The sequence below is a fragment of the Homo sapiens genome, chromosome 3 (assembly GCF_000001405.40).
Source record: "Homo sapiens chromosome 3, GRCh38.p14 Primary Assembly".
In the NCBI taxonomy this organism is placed as follows: domain Eukaryota; kingdom Metazoa; phylum Chordata; class Mammalia; order Primates; family Hominidae; genus Homo; species Homo sapiens.
This window is the reverse complement of record NC_000003.12, coordinates 131,107,807-131,128,748: the sequence shown is the minus strand read 5'-3', so window position 1 is coordinate 131,128,748 and position 20,942 is coordinate 131,107,807. Positions and strand designations below refer to the sequence as shown.

Here is a 20,942-nt window from a genome sequence, read left to right as displayed (position 1 = left end):
CCACTTTGGAAGACAGTTTGGCAGTTTCTTACAAAATGATACAAATGCTTATCACATAATCCAGCAATCATGTTCCTTGGTATTTATTCAAATGAATTAAAAACTATGTCCACACAAAAACCTGCACAATGGTGTTTATAGCAGCTTTATTCATAATTGCCAAAACTTGAAAGCAACAAAAGTGTCCTTCAGTAGCGGAATGGTTAAATAAACCATGGTACATTCACACAATAGAATATTATTTAGTGCTAAGAAGATATGAGCTATTAAGGCATGAAAAGACATGGAAGAAACTTAAATGCATACTACTAAGTGAAAGAAGTCAGCCTGAGAAATCTATATATGATTCCAGCTATATGACAATCTGGAAAATGTTAAACTATGGAGACAACAAAAAGATAAGTGGTTGCCAGGGTTTAAGAGGGAGGGAAGAATGAGTAAGGAGAGCACAGAGAATTTTTAGGGCCATGCAACAACTTTATGATACTAAAATGATGGGTACATGTCATACATGTGCCCAAACTCAAAGAATGTATAGCACTAAGAATGAACCCTAATGTAAACTATAGACTTTGATGATAATGATCTGTCAATGTAGGTTCATCTGTTATAACAAATGTATGACTGGTAGCAATGCTGATAACAGGGGAGGCAATGCATGTGTGGGAGCAGGGGGTATAAGGGAAATCTCTGTACCTTCCACTCAATTTTGCTGTGAACCTAAAACTGCTTTAAAAAATAAAGTTTATTTTAAATTTTTAATCAGAGCTTTGAGTAGATTCAATAAACTTGGATTTCAGGGTCCACAAAGGAAGAGGTATCTTAGTAAAAAACTAAACCCTTCAGCTGAAAGCTCTGAAAAACTTCTTCATAGAAATAAAGGCAAACTGAAAATAGACCAACCCTCCAAAAGCCTACAGCCTACAGTTAAACTATTTCAGTTCCTCATTAGATCAAGGTGATCTGCCCTAAATATAACTGTCAGGCAGAGAAAAGTAATATCATCTAACATCTCTCAATATTTCACATATATTGTTCAGCATTCACTCAAAAACTACCAGGCATACCAAAAGATAAGATCAAATGATTAAAAACCAAAAGAAAAAAAGAGATATAGAAATAAATACACAAGTGATCCACCTATTGAAATTATTGGACAAGGATTTGAAAATAACTGTGATTATTGCTCAAGAAAATAACTGACACAATGGAGAATTTCAATAGAGAGCTAGATTCTATATATTTTCTATATAGAAAATATATATATATTTTTATATGCACTAGGAGTGCATATATATATTTTCTAGGAATCAAATGGAAATTCTAAAACTGAAACAAAATTTTACTAAAATTAAGAATTTAGTGCATATGTTTGAAATCAAATTAGACACAGCAGAAGAGAGGATTTAGAAACTGGAATAATGGTTAGTGAAAAGTATTTCAACTGAGGTGCAAAAAGAAAAAAAGATTAAAAACATAGAAAAGGCTAGGCACAGTGGCTCACGCCTATAATCCCAGCTCTTTGGGAGGCCAAGGTGGGTGGATCACCTGAGGTCAGGAGTTCAAGACCAGCATGGCCAACATGATGAAGCCCATCTCTGCTAAAAGTACAAAAATTAGCCGGGCATGGTGGCAGGCACTTGTAGTTCCAGCTACTCAGGAGGCTGAGGCAGGATAATTGCTTGAACATGGGAGGCGGAGGTTGCAGTGAGCCAGGATCGCGCCACTGTACTCCAGCCTGGGCAACAAGAGTGAGACTCTGTCTCAAAAAAAAAAAAAAAAAAAAAAAGAAAGAAAGAAAGAAAAAGAAAACATAGAAAAGAGTATAAGAGACATCTGAAATACAGGCTTAAAGTTCTAATATATATATAAATGGATTCCTAGAAGGAGTGCATAGCAATGAAGAACAGAATGTGATGGTCTAACATACATCTTTAAGCATTGTAAAAGGAGAATAGGGGAGAAGCAAAATTCAAAGAGAGAATGACGAGGTATTTTCAGAATTTAGAAGTTTTCATGAATTCACAAGCTCAGAAGCAAAAGAAATCCCAAGCAGAATTTAAAACAAAAATCCACAAGTAGACATAACACTGTAATATTGGAAAACACCAAGGACAAAGATGTTGAGAATCAACTGAAAGAAAAGACATTACCTTAATAAGAATGTCTGTTACATGGAAAGTGACTTAACATCAATAACAGAATCCAGAAGACAGTGAGATAACATTTTCAAAATGTCAGATAAAAATCTGTCAATCTGGAATTTCATTTTTAATAATAGCTAAATAATAATACATTTTTAGCTGAAATAGTAGCTAAACTATTATAAAAGGATGAGGAAAAAATAAAAACATTTTCAAACAAACAAACAAAGAAACTGAGTGTTTATCATTCACGTAACTTAAGGATTTGTTTTGGGGAGGAAAAAAAATGACCACAGAAGGAAGACATGGGGTGGAAGAAGAAGTGGTGAACCAAGAGATTGATAAAAGTGGGGAAATCTAAACTAGTTTTGGCTTGTAAACCAATAATAATGGTAGCACTAATTAATAATTTGTGGGGTACATAAAGGAAGTAGAACTGAAATCCTGAATAAAAATAATAGAAAAGAAGGACACAATTGGAGTCAAAGTCTTTAAGAAGAAATTGACTGCAGTGTATCTGTCCTCCTGCTTAAATAGGAGAACCCAGTCTGGGAGCAGTATTCTTGAGCCTTAGGTCAGAAATGGGGTTGTGGCTTTAGAAAATGAAAATCTGTCCTTTAAACACCAACTTAAGTCCTTCAATGGCTCTGCACTGCTTCCAGAATAGAGTCTACAGTTCTATATGTGGCCTGCTAGAGATTTCAAGATCTGGCCCTACCAATGCTTCTGGCAGCCTTAGCAAATGCTTGAGCCACATTTCTATTAATATCATCTCTTCCTCTTCACAGTTCTTCACTCACAGGAGATGCTCAATAAATGCATGTTGGTTTTTAAAACACTATCCTTGGTACAAAGATGAATACTATCTAGTGGGACTCATTCATTAATCCAAAAAACAATTATTGAGTGCCAACTAGATGTTATGTGCTGTACTACATAATGTGACAGATACAAAGATTCATAAGACAAGGCTATGTATCTCATAATGCTTACACTCAGGTTAGAGAGTTTTTTTTAAGTACATCAGCAACTGTAAGAGATGGCAGAAGGGAAACCTAACCACTGTCACTTTACTAAAGAATTATTTATAATTGTAAATAATTACCAATAAAGACATTCACCTGGTCATAAGGAAATATCTCTCTCAGTAAATGATCACTCTCAGTTACATGCCCACCAAATTAATATTACTATTATTAATTAAAACCAGAAATATCAATTATAAAAATAATTTTTACCATTAGAATTAATGATAGTACAAGTGTAATAATGTTACCTTTGTAAAGTGTTCAGGCCTCAACCATCCAGCTTTATTCTGACTAAGCAAATTCTGACTAACAACATTTTAAAGAAAAGTCACTCATAAAGATCATATAGTTTACTTTATAGGACACAAATGGGCAGAAACTCAACCGGGCCTATAAAATCAGCATATAAAGTGAAGAATTGGATATGATAGTGAGAATTTCCCCTAATTCAAATAATCTTTAGCCTCTTTAACCCTTTAGTGGATTAGAGAGGAATAAGTATGTTTCTAAGAATAGAGAGAAAAGAGAAGAGCAAAACTAGACAATGCAACACTAGGCCACTTCATCTTGAGGTCCATAACCCCAGATGCTATAATCCTAAGCACTATACTACTATTTTTTTACTGTTATGCCCAATCTGGAGATGAGGAAATCAAGGCCTAGAAAGGCCAAATAACTTGCCCAATGTTGTATAGCCTATTGGTTCAAACTGAGGTCTCTTTGACTCTATAAACCACTATTCTCACATAGGTCTGTTTATCTATAAAAACTTTGCTATTTAATAACTATTTTCTACTGCCTTCTTACATTCCCACGATACCTAGACCTATGCTGTACATGAGTATGTTGCTGACTTCTTAACTGATTTAAAAAGAGAACAACAGTATTTACTAACTGTGTTAAATGAAACCTGGCTTTCTCTATGCCTACTCTTGGGGTTCTCTTGGTGTGGCAGGAACTGTGAAATGCCTACCCAATAACCATTCTCCTCCTCTTCTCCCTTGACACCAGAACCCCATGAGCCTCTGGGGAGGCTCAGCCCTCCTCAGACCTGTTAGGTAAAGGAAGTGGGGGGTGTAGGGGGTGAATGTGGCAGGGGGATATGATTGCTGAGTTAGATACAAAACTGGTTAATGCCCAACAAGGCCATAAACCATCATCACCAGGGATATCTGTTCTACTGGACAGAAATTATTTGCATCTCTGCTGGACAAAAATATTCAAGTGTGCCTCTGCCTCCACAGAGTTAGGAAGTAGCCCAGATAATAGAAAGTTAAGTCCAGCACTGCAGTGGAAAAATATCCACTAATATCTTTTGTCTCTTCCATGTTTTTTGAAATTTTTCTAACATCAATGAGACACAAGGGAAGTCTGCTGGAATCTTGTAGGAAATACTTCCCTACTCTTATAAAAGACAAAAAAAGGGGGGAGTGACATGCCATATGTCCCTTTTACCTTTTCTGGAGTTTGGTTACTGTTGTGTGAAGGCGGGATACGTGGTCGTGTTACAGCCATTCTGGCAACCACAAGAGGACAAGTCTGACTACAAAAGCCAAACACACTGAGAATGGTGGAATAAAGAGAAAGAACTAGAACCCCAGAGAATACTGCTCAGCCACCCAAGTTAACCAGCTCTAGAACAACTCACTTTGGAGACTTCATGTTAGGCAAGGTAATAAATTTTCTCTACTGTTTAATCTGCTTCTGTTATTTGCAATTAAGAGTGTCTTAAGTTGATCACTTGGTTTCTATAGCTATTGATTCTAGGAAGTCAAAGAGACAACAGGTTTAGGATTTGCAATAGTGAGCTAAGGAGCCCACCAGAAGACTTGGTGCTGTAACTTTGGAGTAAGTAAAACATTCCAAAGAAACTCACCTGATGACACCTAGACTAGACAAGCAGAAGATGAATTACAAATAATACATTGATAGGCCTCTATAAATATATAAATTAGTAACTCATCAGTAGATACTTTAAGAATAAGGCATACAATATGTTAGAAAGCAGTTATGAGAAGTAATTAGCTGGCACTGTGGTAATGGAACAATAAATTCTATGCAACAAACCAGGTATCAAGCTATTTGCTAAATATCTATTGAAAAATTATAATTGGCCATGCATGGTGGCTCATGCCTGTAATCCCAGCACTTTGGGAGGCCGAGGCAGGCAGATCACAAGGTCAGGAGTTCGAGACCAGCCTGGCCAGCACGGTGAAACCCCATCTCTACTAAAAATACAAAAATTAGACGGGCATGGTGGCGTATGCCTGTAATCCCAGCTACTTGGGAGGTTGAGGCAGGAGAATTGCTTGAACCTGGGAAGCAGAGGTTACAGTGAGCCGAGATCATGCCATTGCACTCCACCCTGAGTGACAGAGCAAGACTCCGTCTCAGGAGAAAAAAAAAATCGTAATGTATTGGCTTTGTGGTTACAGTAAGCCAAAATGAGCCAGCATAATTTTATCCTATGTTTGGCTAATATCCATTCCTTTGAAGTATATGAAAATGAAATCCAACAAATAATAAGGTAACAGGCAATAAAGTTTATATGAAATCTTTCTTCTAAAAAGCTCAACACAGTTCTCCATCTATTATCTCAAGTGCACCATACCATATCTGTTCAAGTGGTGGGTCCCTCTCATTTCTATGTTTCATGACACCCAAGTGATCTGGTTAAGATTTGCTGACAGTTTCTGGTTCAAATTCATGCTAAAAATCCCATCTCCATCTCCCCATCAGGTCATTCTTCCCCAGCATCCAGGGCCCATGCTAGGATGAAGAACAGTCTGTGGAGGTACAGAGGGCAGGCATTTCTCAGGCCTCCAGCCCAAGGTAGAACTGTGGAGAAGGTATGGACAATTCCTCTCACCTCCCCTCAAGCCCTAATATGAACAGTTTATGATATGAAACCCTCCCTGGAGGTCTATCCTTCATCTAGCAGGTTCTCAGGGTGGATCACAAACTCTTCTTGCCAAAGGTGCTGGCACAGCCAATGGCTCCTTTGTGATGCACAACCCAGGCAACTCCTGTTACTGGTCTTTGCCATGTGGCCCCTGTCCTGGGCACTGAGGCACCTGCCTTTCTTCATCAGTCTCATTCCCCTCACTAACACAATGAGTCCTCTATGTTGTAAGTCAGAAGCAGGGTCAGGTCTTCCTCAAACTATTGGCCACTGTCAGCATATCAGGAGTGTGCCTACACCTGGCTCAGGGGTGAGGTTACCTTGAAAAAGTGACTGCAGGATATCCTCAAGAAGTGAGGACCAGGAGAAAGCAGGAATCTCCAGTAACACCAAACACAACTTCTCTCTGCTTTTCCACCTTCAAATCTGGGGTAGGACACCTCCTTCCACAGTCATATTTACGGACTCAGATTTCCAAGTATGGCTCTTCCCTGGAAGCCTCACTACATTAAAAATGAGTTCTTAACACTACCTTTCAGGAAAAAACACAACAGGGAGGAGGTTCCAAGATGGCCGAATAGGAACAGTTCCAGTCTACAGCTCCCAGCATGAGCGACACAGAAGATGGGTGATTTCTGCATTTCCAACTGAGGTACCGGGTTCATCTCACTGGGGCTTGCTGGACAGTGGGTGCAGCCCACAGAGCGTGAGCTGAAGCAGGGCGGGGCATCACCTCACCTGGGAAGTGCAAGGGGTCAGGGAATTCCCTTTCCTAGTCAAGGGAAGCCGTGACAGATGGTACCTGGAAAGTTGGGACACTCCCACCCTAATACTGTGCTTTTCCAATGGTCTTAGCAAATGGCACACCAGGAGATTATATCCCATGCATGGCTTGGAGGGTCCCACACCCACGGAGCCTCTCTCACTGCTAGCACAGCAGTCTGAGATCCAACTGCAAGGGGGCAGCGAGGCTGGGGGAGGGGCGTCCACCATTATTGAGGCTTGAGTAGGTAAACAAAGTGGCCTGGAAGCTCAAACTGGGTGGAGCCCACCGGAGTTCAAGGAGGCCTGCCTGCCTCTGTAGACTCCACCACTGGGGGCAGGGCATAGCTGAACAAAAGGCAGCAGAAACTTCTGCAGACTTAAACGTCCCTGTCTGATAGCTTTAAAGAGAGCAGTGGTTCTCCCAGCACAGAGTTTGAGATCTGAGAACGGACAGACTGCCTCCTTAACTGGGCCCTGAGCCCCGAGTAGCCTAACTGGGAGGCACATCCCAGTAGGGGCCAACAGACACCTCCTACAGCCAGGTGCCCCTCTGAGACCAAGCTTCCAGAGGAAGGATCAGGCAGCAACATTTGCCATTCTGCAATGTTTGCTGTTCTGCAGCCTCTGCTGGTGATACCCAGGCAAACAGGGTCTGCAATGGACCTCCAGCAAACTCCAGCAGACCTGCAGCTGAGGGTCCTGACTATTAGAAGGAAAACTAACAGACAGAAAGGACATCCACACCAAAACCCCATCTGTACGTCACCATCATCAAAGACCAAAGGGAGATAAAACCACAAAGATGGGGAGAAACCAGAGAAGAAATGCTGAAAATTCTAAAAATCAGAGCACCTCTTCTCCTCCAAAGGAACTCAGCTCCTCGCTAGCAACGGAACAAAGCTGGACGAAGAATGACTTTGACGAGTTGAGAGAAGAAGGGTTCAGCCGATAGGTAATAACAAACTTCCCCGAGCTAAAGGAGGATGTTCAAACCCATCTCAAAGAAGATGAAAACCTTGAAATAAGATTAGATGAATGGCTAACTAGAATAAACAGCATAGAGAAGACCTTAAATGACCTGATGGAACTGAAAACCATGGCACGAGAACTATGTGACGCATGCACAAGCTTCAGTAGCTGACTTGATCAAGTGGACGAAAGGGTACCAGTAATTGAAGATCAGATGAATGAAATGAAGCGAGAAGAGAAGTTTAGAGAAAAAAGAGTAAAAAGGAACGAACAAAGACTCCAAGAAATATAGGAGTATGTGAAAACACCAAATCTACATCTGATTAGTGTACCTGAAAGCGACAGGGAGAATAGAACCAACTTGGAAAACACTCTTCAGGATATTATCCAGAAGAACTTCCCCAATATAGCAAGGCAGGCCAATATTCAAATTCGGGAAACACAGAGAATGCCACAAAGAAACTCCTCAAGACGAGCAACTCCAAGCCACATAATTATCAGTTTCACCAAAGTTGAAATGAGGAAAAAATGTTAAGCGCAGCCAGAGTGAAAGGTCGGGTTACCCACAAAGGGAAACCCATCAGACTAACAGCGGATCTCTCAGCACAAACTCTACAAGCTAGAAGAGAGTGGGGGCCAATATTCAACATTCTTAAAGAAAAGAATTTTCAACCCAGAATTTCATATCCAGCCAAACTAAGCTTCATAAATGAGGCAGAAATAAAATCCTTTACAGACAAGCAAATGCTGAGAGATTTTGTCACCACCAGGTCTACCTTACAAGACCTCCTGAAGGAAGCACTAAACATGGAAAGGAACAACCAGTACCAGCCACTGCAAAAACATGCCAAATTGTAAAGACCATCGATGCTAGGAAGAAACTGCATCAACTAACGAGCAAAATAACCAGCTAACATCATAATGACAGGATCAAATTCACACATAACAATATTAACCATAAATGTAAATGGGCGAAATGCTCCAATTAAAAGACACAGACTGGCAAATTGGATAAAGAGTCAAGACCCATCGGTGTGCTGTATTCAGGAGATCCCTCTCATGTGTAGAGACACACATAGGCTCAAAATAAAGGGATGGAGGAAGATCTACCAAGCAACTGGAAAACAAAACAAAACATAAAAGCAGGGGTTGCAATCCTAGTCTCTGATAAAACAGAATTTAAACCAACAAAGATCAAAAGAGACAAAGAAGGCCATTACATAACGGTAAATGGATCAATGCAACAAGAAGAGCTAACTATCCTAAATATATATACACCCAATACAGGAGAACCCAGATTCATAAAGCAAGTCCTTAGAGACCTACAAAGAGACTTAGACTCCCACACAATAATAATGGGAGACTTTAACATCCCACTGTCAACATTAGGCAGAACAACAAGACAGAAAGTTAACAAGGATATCCAGGATTTGAACTCAGCTCAGCACCAAGCAGACCTAATAGACATCTACAGAACTCTCCACCCCAAATCAACGGAATATACATTCTTCTCAGCACCACATTGCACTTATTCCAAAATTGACCACATAGTTGGAAGTAAAGCCCTCCTCAGCAAACGTAAAAGAACAGAAATTATAACAAACTGTCTCTCAGACCACCGTGCAATCAAACTAGAACTCAGGATTAAGAAACTCACTCAAAACCGCTCAACTACATGGAAACTAAACAACCTGCTCTTGAATGACTACTGCGTACATAACAAAATGAAGGCAGAAATAAAGATATTCTTTGAAACCAATGAGAACAAAGACACAACATACCAGAATCTCTGGGACACATTTAAAGCGGTGAGTAGAGGGAAATTCATAGCACTAAATGCCCATGAGAGAAAGCAGGAAAGATCTAAAATTGACACCCTAACATCACAATTAAAAGAACTAGAGAAGCAAGAGCAAACACATTCAAAGCTAGCAGAAGGCAGGAAATAACTAAGATCAGAGCAGAACTGAAGAAGATAGAGACACAAAAAACCCTTCAAAAAATCAATCAATCCAGGAGCTGGTTTTTCAAAAGATCAACAAAATTGATAGACAGCTAGCAAGACTAATAAAGAAGAAAAAAGAGAAGAATCAAATAGATGCAAAAAAAATGATAAAGGGGATATCACCACCGATCCCACAGAAATACAAACTACCATCAGAGAATACTATAAACACCTCTACTCAAATAAACTAGAAAATCTAGAACAAACGGATAAATTCCTGGACACATACACCCTCCCAAGACTAAACCAGGAAGAAGTTGAATCCCTGAATAGACTAATAACAGGCTCTGAAATTGAGGCAATAATTAATAGCCTACCAACCAAAAAAAGTCCAGGACCAGATGGATTCACAGCCGAATTCTACCAGAGGTACAAACATGAATTGGTATCATTCCTTCTGAAATTATTCTAATCAACAGAAAAAGAGGGATCCTCCCTAACTCATTTTATGAGGCCAGCAACATCCTGATACCAAAGCCCACAGACACACAACAAAAAAAGAGAATTTTAGACCAATATCCCTGAGGAACATCGATGCAAAAATCCTCAATAAAATACTGGCAAACTGAATCCAACAGCACATCAAGAAGCTTATCCACCACGATCAAGTTGGCTTCATCCCTGGGATGCAAGGCTGGTTCAACATATGCAAATCAATAAACGTAATCCATCATATAAACAGAACCAAAGACAAAAACCACATGATTATCTCAATAGATGCAGAAAAGGCCTTCGACAAACTTCAACAGCCCTTCATACCCAAAACTCTCAATAAACTAAGTATTGATGGAATGTATCTCAAAATAATAAGAGCTATTTAGGACAAACCCACAGCCAATATCATACTGAATGGGCAAAAACTGGAAGCATTCTGTTTGAAAACTGGCACAAGACAGGGATGCCCTCTCTCACCACTCCTATTCAACATAGTGTTGGAAGTTCTGGTCAGGGGAATCAGGCAGGAGAAAGAAATAAAGGGTATTCAATCAGGAAAAGAGGAAGTCAAATTGTCCCTGTTTGCAGACGACATAATCATATACTTAGAAAACCCCATCGTCTCAGCCCAAAATCTACTTAAACTGATAAGCAACTTCAGCAAAATCTCAGGATACAAAATCAATGTGCAAAAATCACAAGCATTCCTGTACACCAATAACAGATAGAGAGCCAAATCATGAATGAATTCCCATTCACAATTGCTTCAAAGAGAATAAAATACCTAGGAATCCAACTTACAAGGGATGTGTATAGGACCTCTTCAAGTAGAACTACAAACCACTGCTCAATGAAATAAAAGAGGACACAAAGAAATGGAAGAACATTCCATGCTCATGGGTAGGAAGAATCAATATCGTGAAAATGGCCATACTGCCCAAGGTAATTTATAGATTCAATGCCATCCCCATCAAGCTACCAATGACTTTCTTCACAGAATTGGGAAAAAAAAACTAAAGTTCATATGGAACCAAAAAAGAGCCCACATTGCCAAGACAATCCTAAACCAAAAGAACAAAGCTCGAGGCATCACACAACCTGACTTCAAACTATACTACAAGGCTACAGTAACCAAAACAGCACGGTACTGCCACCAAAACAGAGATATAGACCAATGGGACAGAACAGAGCCCTCAGAAATAATACCACACATCTACAACTATCTGATCTTTGACAAACCTGAGGAAAACAAGCAATGGGGAAAGGATTCCCTCTTTAATAAATGGTGCTGGGAAAACTGGCTAGCCATAAGTAGAAAGCTGAAACTGGGTCCCTTCCTTACACCTTATATTAAATTTCTTCAAGATGGATTAAAGACTTAACTGTTAGACCTAAAACCATAAAAACCCTAGAAGAAAACCTAGGCAATACCATTCAGGACATAGGCATGTGCAAGGACTTCATGACTAAAACACCAAAAGCAATGGCAACAAAAGCCAAAATTGGCAAATGGGATCTAATTAAACTAAAGAGCTTCTGCACAGCAAAAGAAACTACCATCAGAGTGAACAGGCAACCTACAGAATGGGAGAAAATTTTTGCAATCTACCCATCTGACAAAGGGCTAATATCCAGAATCTACAAAGAACTTAAACAAATTTACAAGAAAAAATCAAACAACCCCATCAAGAAGTGGGCAAAGGATATGAACAGACACTTCTCAAAAGAAGACATTTATGCAGCCAAAAGACACATGAAAAAATGCTCATCATCACTGGCCATCAGAGAAATGCAAATCAAAACCACAATGAGATACCATCTCACACCAGGTAGAATGGCAATTATTAAAAAGTCAGGAAACAACAGGTGCTGGAGAGGATGTGGAGAAATAGGAACACTTTTACACTGTTGGTGGGATTGTAAACTAGTTCAACCATTGTGGAAGACAGTGTGGCGATTCCTCAAGGATCTAGAACTAGAAATACCATTTGACCCAGCCATCCCATTACTGGGTATATACCCAAAGGATTACAAATCATGCTGCTATAAAGACACATGCACACGTATGTTTATTGTGGCACTATTCACAATAACAAAGACTTGGAACCAACCCAAATTTCCATCAGTGATAGACTGGATTAAGAAAATGTGGCACATATACACCATGGAATACTATGCAGCCATAAAGAAGGATGTGTTCATGTTCTTTGTAGGGACATGGAAGAAGCTGGAAACCATCATTCTGAGCAAACTATCAGAAGGACAGAAAACCAAACACTGCACGTTCTCACTCATAGGTGAGAACTGAACAATGAGAACACTTGGACACAAGGTGGGGAACATCACACACTGGAGCCTGTCATGGGGTGGGGGGAAGGCGAGGGATAGCATTAGGAGAGATACCTAATGTAAATGACGAGTTAATGGGTGCAGCACACCAACATGGCACATGTATACATATGTAACAAACCTGCACGTTGTGTACATGTATCCTAGAACTTAAAGTATAATAAAGAAAGAAAGAAAGAAAGAAAGAAAGAAAGAAAGAAAGAAAGAAAGAAAGAAAGAAAGAAAGAAAGAAAGAAAGAAAGAAAGAAAACACTACCTTTCAGGGAACATTTTAGCCACTCTACCACAATACCTCGCCAAGCTGGCTGGGAAATCCATGGGCAGTGAGGTGATGAGGAAGCCGTCTTGGAGTAAGTGCCCAGCCCTGTTCTCTCCTCTACTTGGAAAGCACCAAAATCAGCAAGGCCTTGAGACCACCAGCAGGTGGGCTCTCTGCAGAGAGGCTGCTCTGTCCTTTATCTTAAGAAATTGACATAACTGAACTCCCCGCCCAGAACAGTAATGGGTTTCAGTGCAACATTCTCAAGATAGCTTCTAGTGAACTGTGAATTTTCTCAGGTTTTAACATCATTATTTATGTGTTTATGCCATATGTTATAGATTTAGAATAATGTATAAATAAACCAAATTAAAATAAGTACAGGAAGCTCCAAAGGAGTGAACAGATTCTTCACTTTTTCTGTAACTTCATTCTTCTTAGTGTTTCCAGGGTCTTCTTTATCTCCTCTACGGCTGCACTGTATTAGTCTGGGTTCTAATGATAAATGATTTATTATGAAGAATTGGCTCATGAATTAGGGAGGCTGAGAAGTCCCACAATCTGCTGTCTACAAGCTAGAGACCCAGGAAAGCCAATAGTGTAATTCAGTCCCTGTCCAAAGGACTGAGAACCAGGGGAGCCAATGGTGTAAATCCCAGTCTGAGGGTAGGAGATGAGATGTCTAGCTTAAGTAGTGAGGCAGGAACAAGGGGGCAAATTCCTCCTTCCTCTGTCTTTTGTTCCATTCAAGCCATCAAGGGATTGGATGATGCCTGCCCACACTGTGGAGGGCAATCTACTTTACTGAGTCCACAGATTCAAATGCTAATCTCATCCAGAACCATCTTCAAAGACACACCTGTAAACAATGTGTAATTCTGGGCATCTACTGCCCAGTCAACTTGACACATAAAATCAACCATCATATATATAAACTAAAATTTTTGCAAGGCATTTGCAACAAACCTAACCTCTTCACATGTATTGTTTCCAAGGTAATCTTAACTCATATGTAAGCCAATTTATGTAATTTTCAAAATATACTTTAATATATACTGTAGATCATATAAGGAGAAAACTAGAATAATGCTTTGTAGACAAGCCTATATTTATCAGCTGTAATTTGAAAGATTTTAGTCTAAAGCTGAGTGAAACATTGTAGTAGACTTATTCTTGTTCCCAAGTATTCACGCTTCTTATTCCTTGCAGTGAGGGGTCCCTTTGGGAGGAAGAGGCATCTCCACCCCCTCTGACATTAAGAGTGGTCATGTGACTTCTCTGGTTAATGACATGTGAGCAGACTGGATGATTGTCATGTCTGAGCAAGGGGTTTCCACTCTCTTGCTTTTCCCTCCACCAGGAGTAAAGCCTGTCCTGGATAGGGCTGCTCCTTCAGTTTGGGTACTGGAATGAAGACATGTAGAGCAGACTTGCAGATGACCCATATCTGTCAATATGCAACATGAGCAGGAAATGATTGCTGCTGTAAGCCACGACACTGGAGTTTTGTTAATACAGCATGACTCCCTTCGGCAAGAACATGTTTTAGTGCTACGTTCTCAAAGTAGCTTTCTGTGAATAGTCTTGGCTTTTTAATTATTTATAAATGTTTATGCCATATGCTAAAAAAAATCATTCCTTTGGATTTAAAAAGTTTTAAAGTCAGACAATTAAGATAAATAAGTTTATTTTCTGAAGGAAACATGTTTTATACTAAATTAAATACTGAAAACCAACAGAAGTGAAACATAGATTATACATTTACAATCAGGAATAATATATATATAACTGCTCCATTTAAAAACCATTCTAAAATTGGATCAAGATGAAGACAACTTCCTCCCCCTCCTCACTCCAACTTCCTCCCCCTCCTCACTCCAAATTCCCAGAAATACAAGAAATTTTTCAAGAGGAAATTCACAATAGTGCTAGAAAACAATAGTTATATTTAAGCAAGATTGCCTTTTTTTTTTTTTTTTTTTGAGAGGGAGTCTTGCACTGTCACCCAGGCTAGAATACGATGGTGCAATCTCGGCTCACTGCAACCTCCACCTCCCAGGTTCAAGCCATTCTCCTGCCTCAGCCTCCAAGTAGCTGGGATTACAGGTGCCTGCCGCCATGCCTCGCTAATTTTTTGTATTTTCAGTAGAGATGGGGTTTCACTATGTCGGCCAGGCTAGTCTCAAACTCCTAACCTTGTGATCCACCCGCCTTGGCCTCCCAAAGTGCTGGGATTACAGACGTGAGCCACTGTGCCCGGCCTGCTTTTTCTTTTTTTCCCCAAAAATTCAGGAAAGAATGCAGGAAGAGAAACTCAAAACTTAAAACACTATTAGAAGAGTCCTGCCTCTGCATCCCTCTACCCACAGCAGCCACTAGTTCAACCATGCATTCTGCACAGCTTTTCTGGCTTCTCCTTCTCACTCTTCCCACTTATTGGCTTCTGATTTCTAAGATTACCTCCTAAAACTCTATTTGTACCCTAGTCTTTGTTTCAGAGCTCTGATATTGTAGGAACCCAAACAAAGTCAAGCCCTGATGGTTCCCTAAGATCCAGAGCCTCACTTCTAACTTCCTTCTCTCATTCTCATTCTCTCTCTCTCCTCCCTCTCCTTCTTCTCTCTCCATATTCTACCCAGCATATTCATAATTAAACTCATCACCATTGTTTCAAACCTGTCTTTCCAATTTCTCATTCATCCAGGCACAAAACCTCAGGTTCATCTTTGACCTTCTATCACATCTCAGATACACTTAATTGCAAGTCCAGTCATTTCAACTTACTGAGTTCATTCTCATCTTTCCTCATTCTACCCACCTCTGCCAGCTTGGTTTAGGTCTCACAATCTCATGCATGGATATTATAAAAGGTTCTTGACTGATAACCCAAGTTACCTTCTCTCCTTGATATAATTTATCATCTAACCTTCCTGAAGCAAGCTCTGGCAATATTATATAACTCCACTCAAAAAGCTCTTGTGGAGTTCAATGTCTATGCTCCAAAATAAAGCCCTCTTGACCTCAGCCTACCTTTGCAAACAACTTTATTCATTACTCCAAGAACCTTCCCAATAGAACTACTCATGATTCTCTCTAAAAGTTCCATGTTTTCCCACCTCTGTGGCTGTGCTCTGTTCCCTATATCTGGAAAGCTCTGACCCATTTTTCATCATACTTGAAACCTACCTTGGGTCAAGTGCTACTTCTTCCAAGAAGAAGCCTCCATTGATTCTCCAAATGAAAACATTATCTCTCTTCTGATCTCCTGTAACACTAAATTGTACTTTTCTTGGCCCTTTTATCACTTGTTTTAAACTAGAGTATAACTTACATTAAAATGCAAAAATCTTAAATTTGATGATTTTTTACATATATATCAACATCTGTACCACTCTTGTAATCCTCTATCCAGATTAAGATATAGAACATTTCTAACATCCCAGGTTTCTTTGTGCCCCTTCCAGGCAAAACCCCTTTGCAAGAGTAATCACTATTCTGACTTATCTTAGGTTAGTTTTGCCTATTTTTGAACTTCATATAAATGTAGTCATGCAGTATACACTCTTTTGCATCTGGCTTCTGTCATCCTACCTCTGATCTCTGAGATTCACCCAGGTCATGCTTATTATCAATTGTGTATTGTTTTTAAATTATAGAATAGTAATTTTAAAAGTCCATTATAGGGCCATACCACACTCAGGTTAACCATTCCACTGTAGATGAATATTTTTTAATGTTTTCACTATTACAAAAAAGGCTTCTATGGACATTTCTGCATACCTTTTGTTGGACATCAGCACTCATTTCTACCCTTAGGAATAGAATTACTGGGTCATAGCTATTTGTATGTTTGGCTTAGAAAGTTTTGCAAACATTTCTCAAAAGTGTTTATATCAATGTATACCCTATTAACAATATAAAATAATTCCAGGTACTCCATATGTTTACCAACACTTGCTACTGTCATCGTTTTTAAAACCCCTTTTGATGTCTGTGCTCTCATTTCTATATTAAATTATAACAACAACATTACATAGAGCTTAACATTTTGCAAACTTTTAAACTGTCTAATATCTGAATGCATATTTTCTACCCTTTAATGTAAGCAAGGAGAGTCCTATTATTATCCTTACTTTATATTAGGTAGGTGCAAAAATAATTGTGGCTTTTGTCATTAAAAATAATGGCAAAAACCACAATTACTTTTGCACCAATCTAATAGATGAGGAAACAGGTTCAGAGAGGAGAGCTTGCTCTCATGACCAGCTTGCTCAAGGTCATGAATCTGGTGAATAGTGGAGACAATGAATTGTGCACATCCACCATGGTGCATGGCTTATAGTTATAAGGGTACATGTTTTATGTCGGCTAGCTTACTAACAGCTCTTTGAGGTTGAGACTTATTTTTAATTTATCACTATCTAATGAAGGAATGAATGAACCGAAACATAAAATTGTAATTTCTCTGTACATAAAAATTTTACAGTAATTGGTTATAATAACATAATGACTAAGAAGCACCATCAATTGTTACCTGAATCACAAAGGATTGTATTTCAGATCCACAGATTCACAAATATCCAAATATTTAGTCTCATTTAATGACTTTCTTTGAATATTAAAGGATTAAAAATTATAAGCCTCTGTTCAAAGGGTTATTTTAAACTCATTTATTTTAACTATTACTAAGCAGTCTTAAAGGTATCAAAAATATTTGGGTTCTTAAATCAACCAAATTCCAGTTTTGTATTTTGTGCATAGAATACCATAGTTAGCATCTTAATATGTGTTGTTTTTTAGTTGTTTTTCTTGCATATAACCTAACAATATGCTAAGAAATAAAGAAATAAAAGAAATACCAATATAAATGTATGTACACAGAAGTTTTACAGTCAGTAGCTTTGGGTAGCTTATTAAAAGATTATTTGATTCATTTAAGTCAAATAATCTTTTAATAAAAGATTTCTAAAGATAGTTTGACATCATCCAACAGATTGTTATGAGGTGTCAATAAATCAGTAGCTATCTGTATCAACAAGCATGTGTTTTAGAAGATACATGGCGAATTACAGAATAATCCGATTACTTTTTATGCTGTCAGAAAGTACAGATGACACATTTAAGCAACCTGACATCCACGGATAGTTAGACCTTGGTGTGCTTTATAAATTACCCCCTTTCGTTCAAGAAGAATGGTACCATGTGTTAACGCCCACTTCCAAGGTGAAAGCGACCACAGACACCTCAGAATATCCACTTCTTTTTTGTCTATGTATGTTCATCTTTTCAAACGTGTTCATATCATTTTATGGGTCTCTAAAATATTTAACTTCTAAAACTTCTTACTTTTGACCTATAAAAATTCATTAAAAGTTTTAAAATACATTTTTGAGGCAGAGATTGTAAATGTAAATCACAGATAATCAAAATAATTGACCTTCATTATGAGATACTTCATATCAAAACTGACTTTCTATCTGAATACTTATCCCTCTGAGGTGAAAGAATACATTCTGTCTCAATTACTGAGCTCTTTTGGGATGTGAACCTAGCTAAGTGTGCACTGACACATTCCAAGGCGACCACACAATTCATTTGTGGCATACTAAGGTATTTACAACTCAAGCCTGCTGTAAGATACAATAAATTCATAGGATGCCAAAGGTTTCTGAGAACTTCCTGTAATTCACAGGACATGATCAGACATAATGAAATGTGTTTAATACAAATTTCTGTCTTATATTCAAGGCCAACTTGAGTTTCAGAACAGCAACAAAAAGCTATGCAAGTAAATCCTCTAGATATAATCATTCAACAGTTTTCTCAAGGAAAAACATATTATAGATGTTTAATTTTAGCCATATACCTTTTGAACTTGTTTTCTTTCAATTATAGAAAAAAAATTCACTTTTCAAGTTCAAACATGACTGTTAAAAATATATCATGCTCCCCCAGTAGCAAATGAACATACCTCTCATGCATGTAGTCAACTCCCAGCAGCAGCTGGATAAACCATTCTATTATTTGATTTTCTGGAAAGATTTTTCCAGCTTGTTTATATTCCTGAATTTTATCGTCCAGATCTCGGCCCTGAAATGAAGAGCATAATCTTTCATATTTTTTCAGCTAATATGTTAAAATCAAGTTCACTTAACAACAGTTAATACATAGCAGTCACTGTTTATAAGAAAGTGCCATTCTGTAATTATCACTGACAAAGATTCTCTCTTTAATCAAAGTCTATCCAGGTTCCTTTGAGCACTCTTCTCAGCTCGGCCTCAACATTAACCTATAAAGACTTTAACAAACACGAATCTATTAATAGTTTCTAAAAGCCCAAGGCCACAACCCTAGGATGGTCCTACCCTCCTACCCCTTAAAGTTCCTACCTGAGAAAACTCAAGGTAGACAGAAGAATTGACAGTTTCTTCCAGCCAATGCCTGAAGATAGGGCTCTTGTCTCCCAATCTCTAAGGAAGGTTAGGAGTCTAACTTTGATGAGCACCAGATAACAAACCCACATGAGTTTACAGGGACCAACCTCCACTTCCTGATTTTTGTAATTTTTCACTTCCTTGACTCTGCTCAGGCCCCTGCTGTTCCTCTTCCCTACTCCCTTATTCTCCCTGAATACCCAGTCACTCTGCACAAATTAGAATGGAGCTTAGCTCTTTCCTCTAGTATCAGTAGTTACTTCATAAAATCTGTTTTAAATGCTTTAATGATATCACTCCAGGAAAAAACCCTTATAAGGAGAAAAGTTATCACACAAACCTTCAATCTAAATTATTTTTTATTATATTACCTATATATGCACCCACATAAAACTAGCAATAACTTTTCTTACACTTAGAGTTGTATATAATTATAGAATCTTAACATATAAAACTTAAAAAGGTCGGCCAATAAAATTCAAATCAGTGATATGAATTTAATATAAAGTGATGATTTTTGGTGAAACTAAATTGGCACTTATATTGTGCATATAGCTGCTGTAGTATAGCTTCTTTTGAGTTCAGCATGCCCAGGGTACCATGCGCATTGGGATGACTGAATTCTCCTTTCCTCTACGTAGCTATAGCAAAACCCTAAGGAATATAATAACTGTGGATCTATGTGGGGATCCAAGCACATCGTTTAAGCATTTAGTTAAGCTCTATCCTATCATTCACTGGCAATAAGTAAAATAATAATACTTATTATTAAGGCCAAAAACTAACTATGATCAAAAATGACAAACATCTAAAATAGCCTGGCAGTGTCTGACATAATGCCCTTTCTGAATATGGTTGTACTGATGTATTTCAATTGCTATAAAAATAAAAATGTCAAATGCTAAATTTTCTTAGAGAACCCTTAGACCTGATCCATTTTACTGTAAAACACCGAAAACTTAGAGATAATTTGAGAAATGTTCCTCTAAAGAAAAGGATGGATTCAATGTTAACTGTGTTTAGTCTTTGCAGGATGCAAAACACAGGCCCCATAAAGAGTGGGAGAGGTCCTTATCATATTCATGGGGAGCAAAAGTGGAAAAAATAAGCTAGTCATAGACTACTCATGACAGAGTTGTTGTTAAGATGCAAAGGAAGAACATTTATAGGCAATGAGACAATCCAAAAGAAATTACTTCTAATGAAACAATATGAGGTCAACTGATTCACTTCTAATGCACTTTTTATTTCCTTACAGTGCAATGTGCAAATATTTGCTTAGCATTTTCTCTCCTACACAGGGCCGTAACAAATCAAAAGTATAGCAAACATTCACTAGCAGCCTAGCTCAAGTACGGTTTCCTGATAGTTTTTCTGGGCCAAGGAGAGTGTTCCAAAGCTTGGTGGAATTCAAAAATATGGCGAATTGAATACTTAACTCCTTGTCTAAAAGACTATCATTTCTTTCTCATTCTTCAAACCTGCCTTTATTTCTTCTCTCTTTTTACTCCTTGAGTTTATCAGAATTCTGTTGAGCCATACAAGCTGTACTCTCATGTTTCTGTAAGTTGCAAAGAACATTTCTGACAATAGATCATTATAACATCCTGTGTAGCAGACATGAAAGTCCTTCAGATGAAAGGTGACCTGTA

General features: G+C 38.4%; 1 protein-coding gene across 57 annotated transcripts in view; it reads right to left on the bottom strand.

Annotated features, from left to right (window-relative positions):
• Positions 1 to 20,942, bottom strand: part of NEK11 (NIMA related kinase 11) — a 323,589-nt gene that overhangs the window by 221,717 nt on the left and 80,930 nt on the right. For 56 of the 57 annotated variants that reach the window (XR_001740271.2, NM_001353038.2, NM_001353022.2 and 53 more), the window contains one exon: positions 18,828 to 18,946. Coding sequence is in view for 56 of the 57 variants with exons in the window: in NM_001353022.2 (NP_001339951.1) it covers positions 18,828 to 18,946 (119 nt within the window). In the remaining variant the exon portion in view is untranslated. Of the gene's footprint in view, positions 1 to 18,827; positions 18,947 to 19,245; positions 19,388 to 20,942 lie in introns of those variants that run through there. The other variant, XM_017007228.2, reaches the window with a different exon arrangement.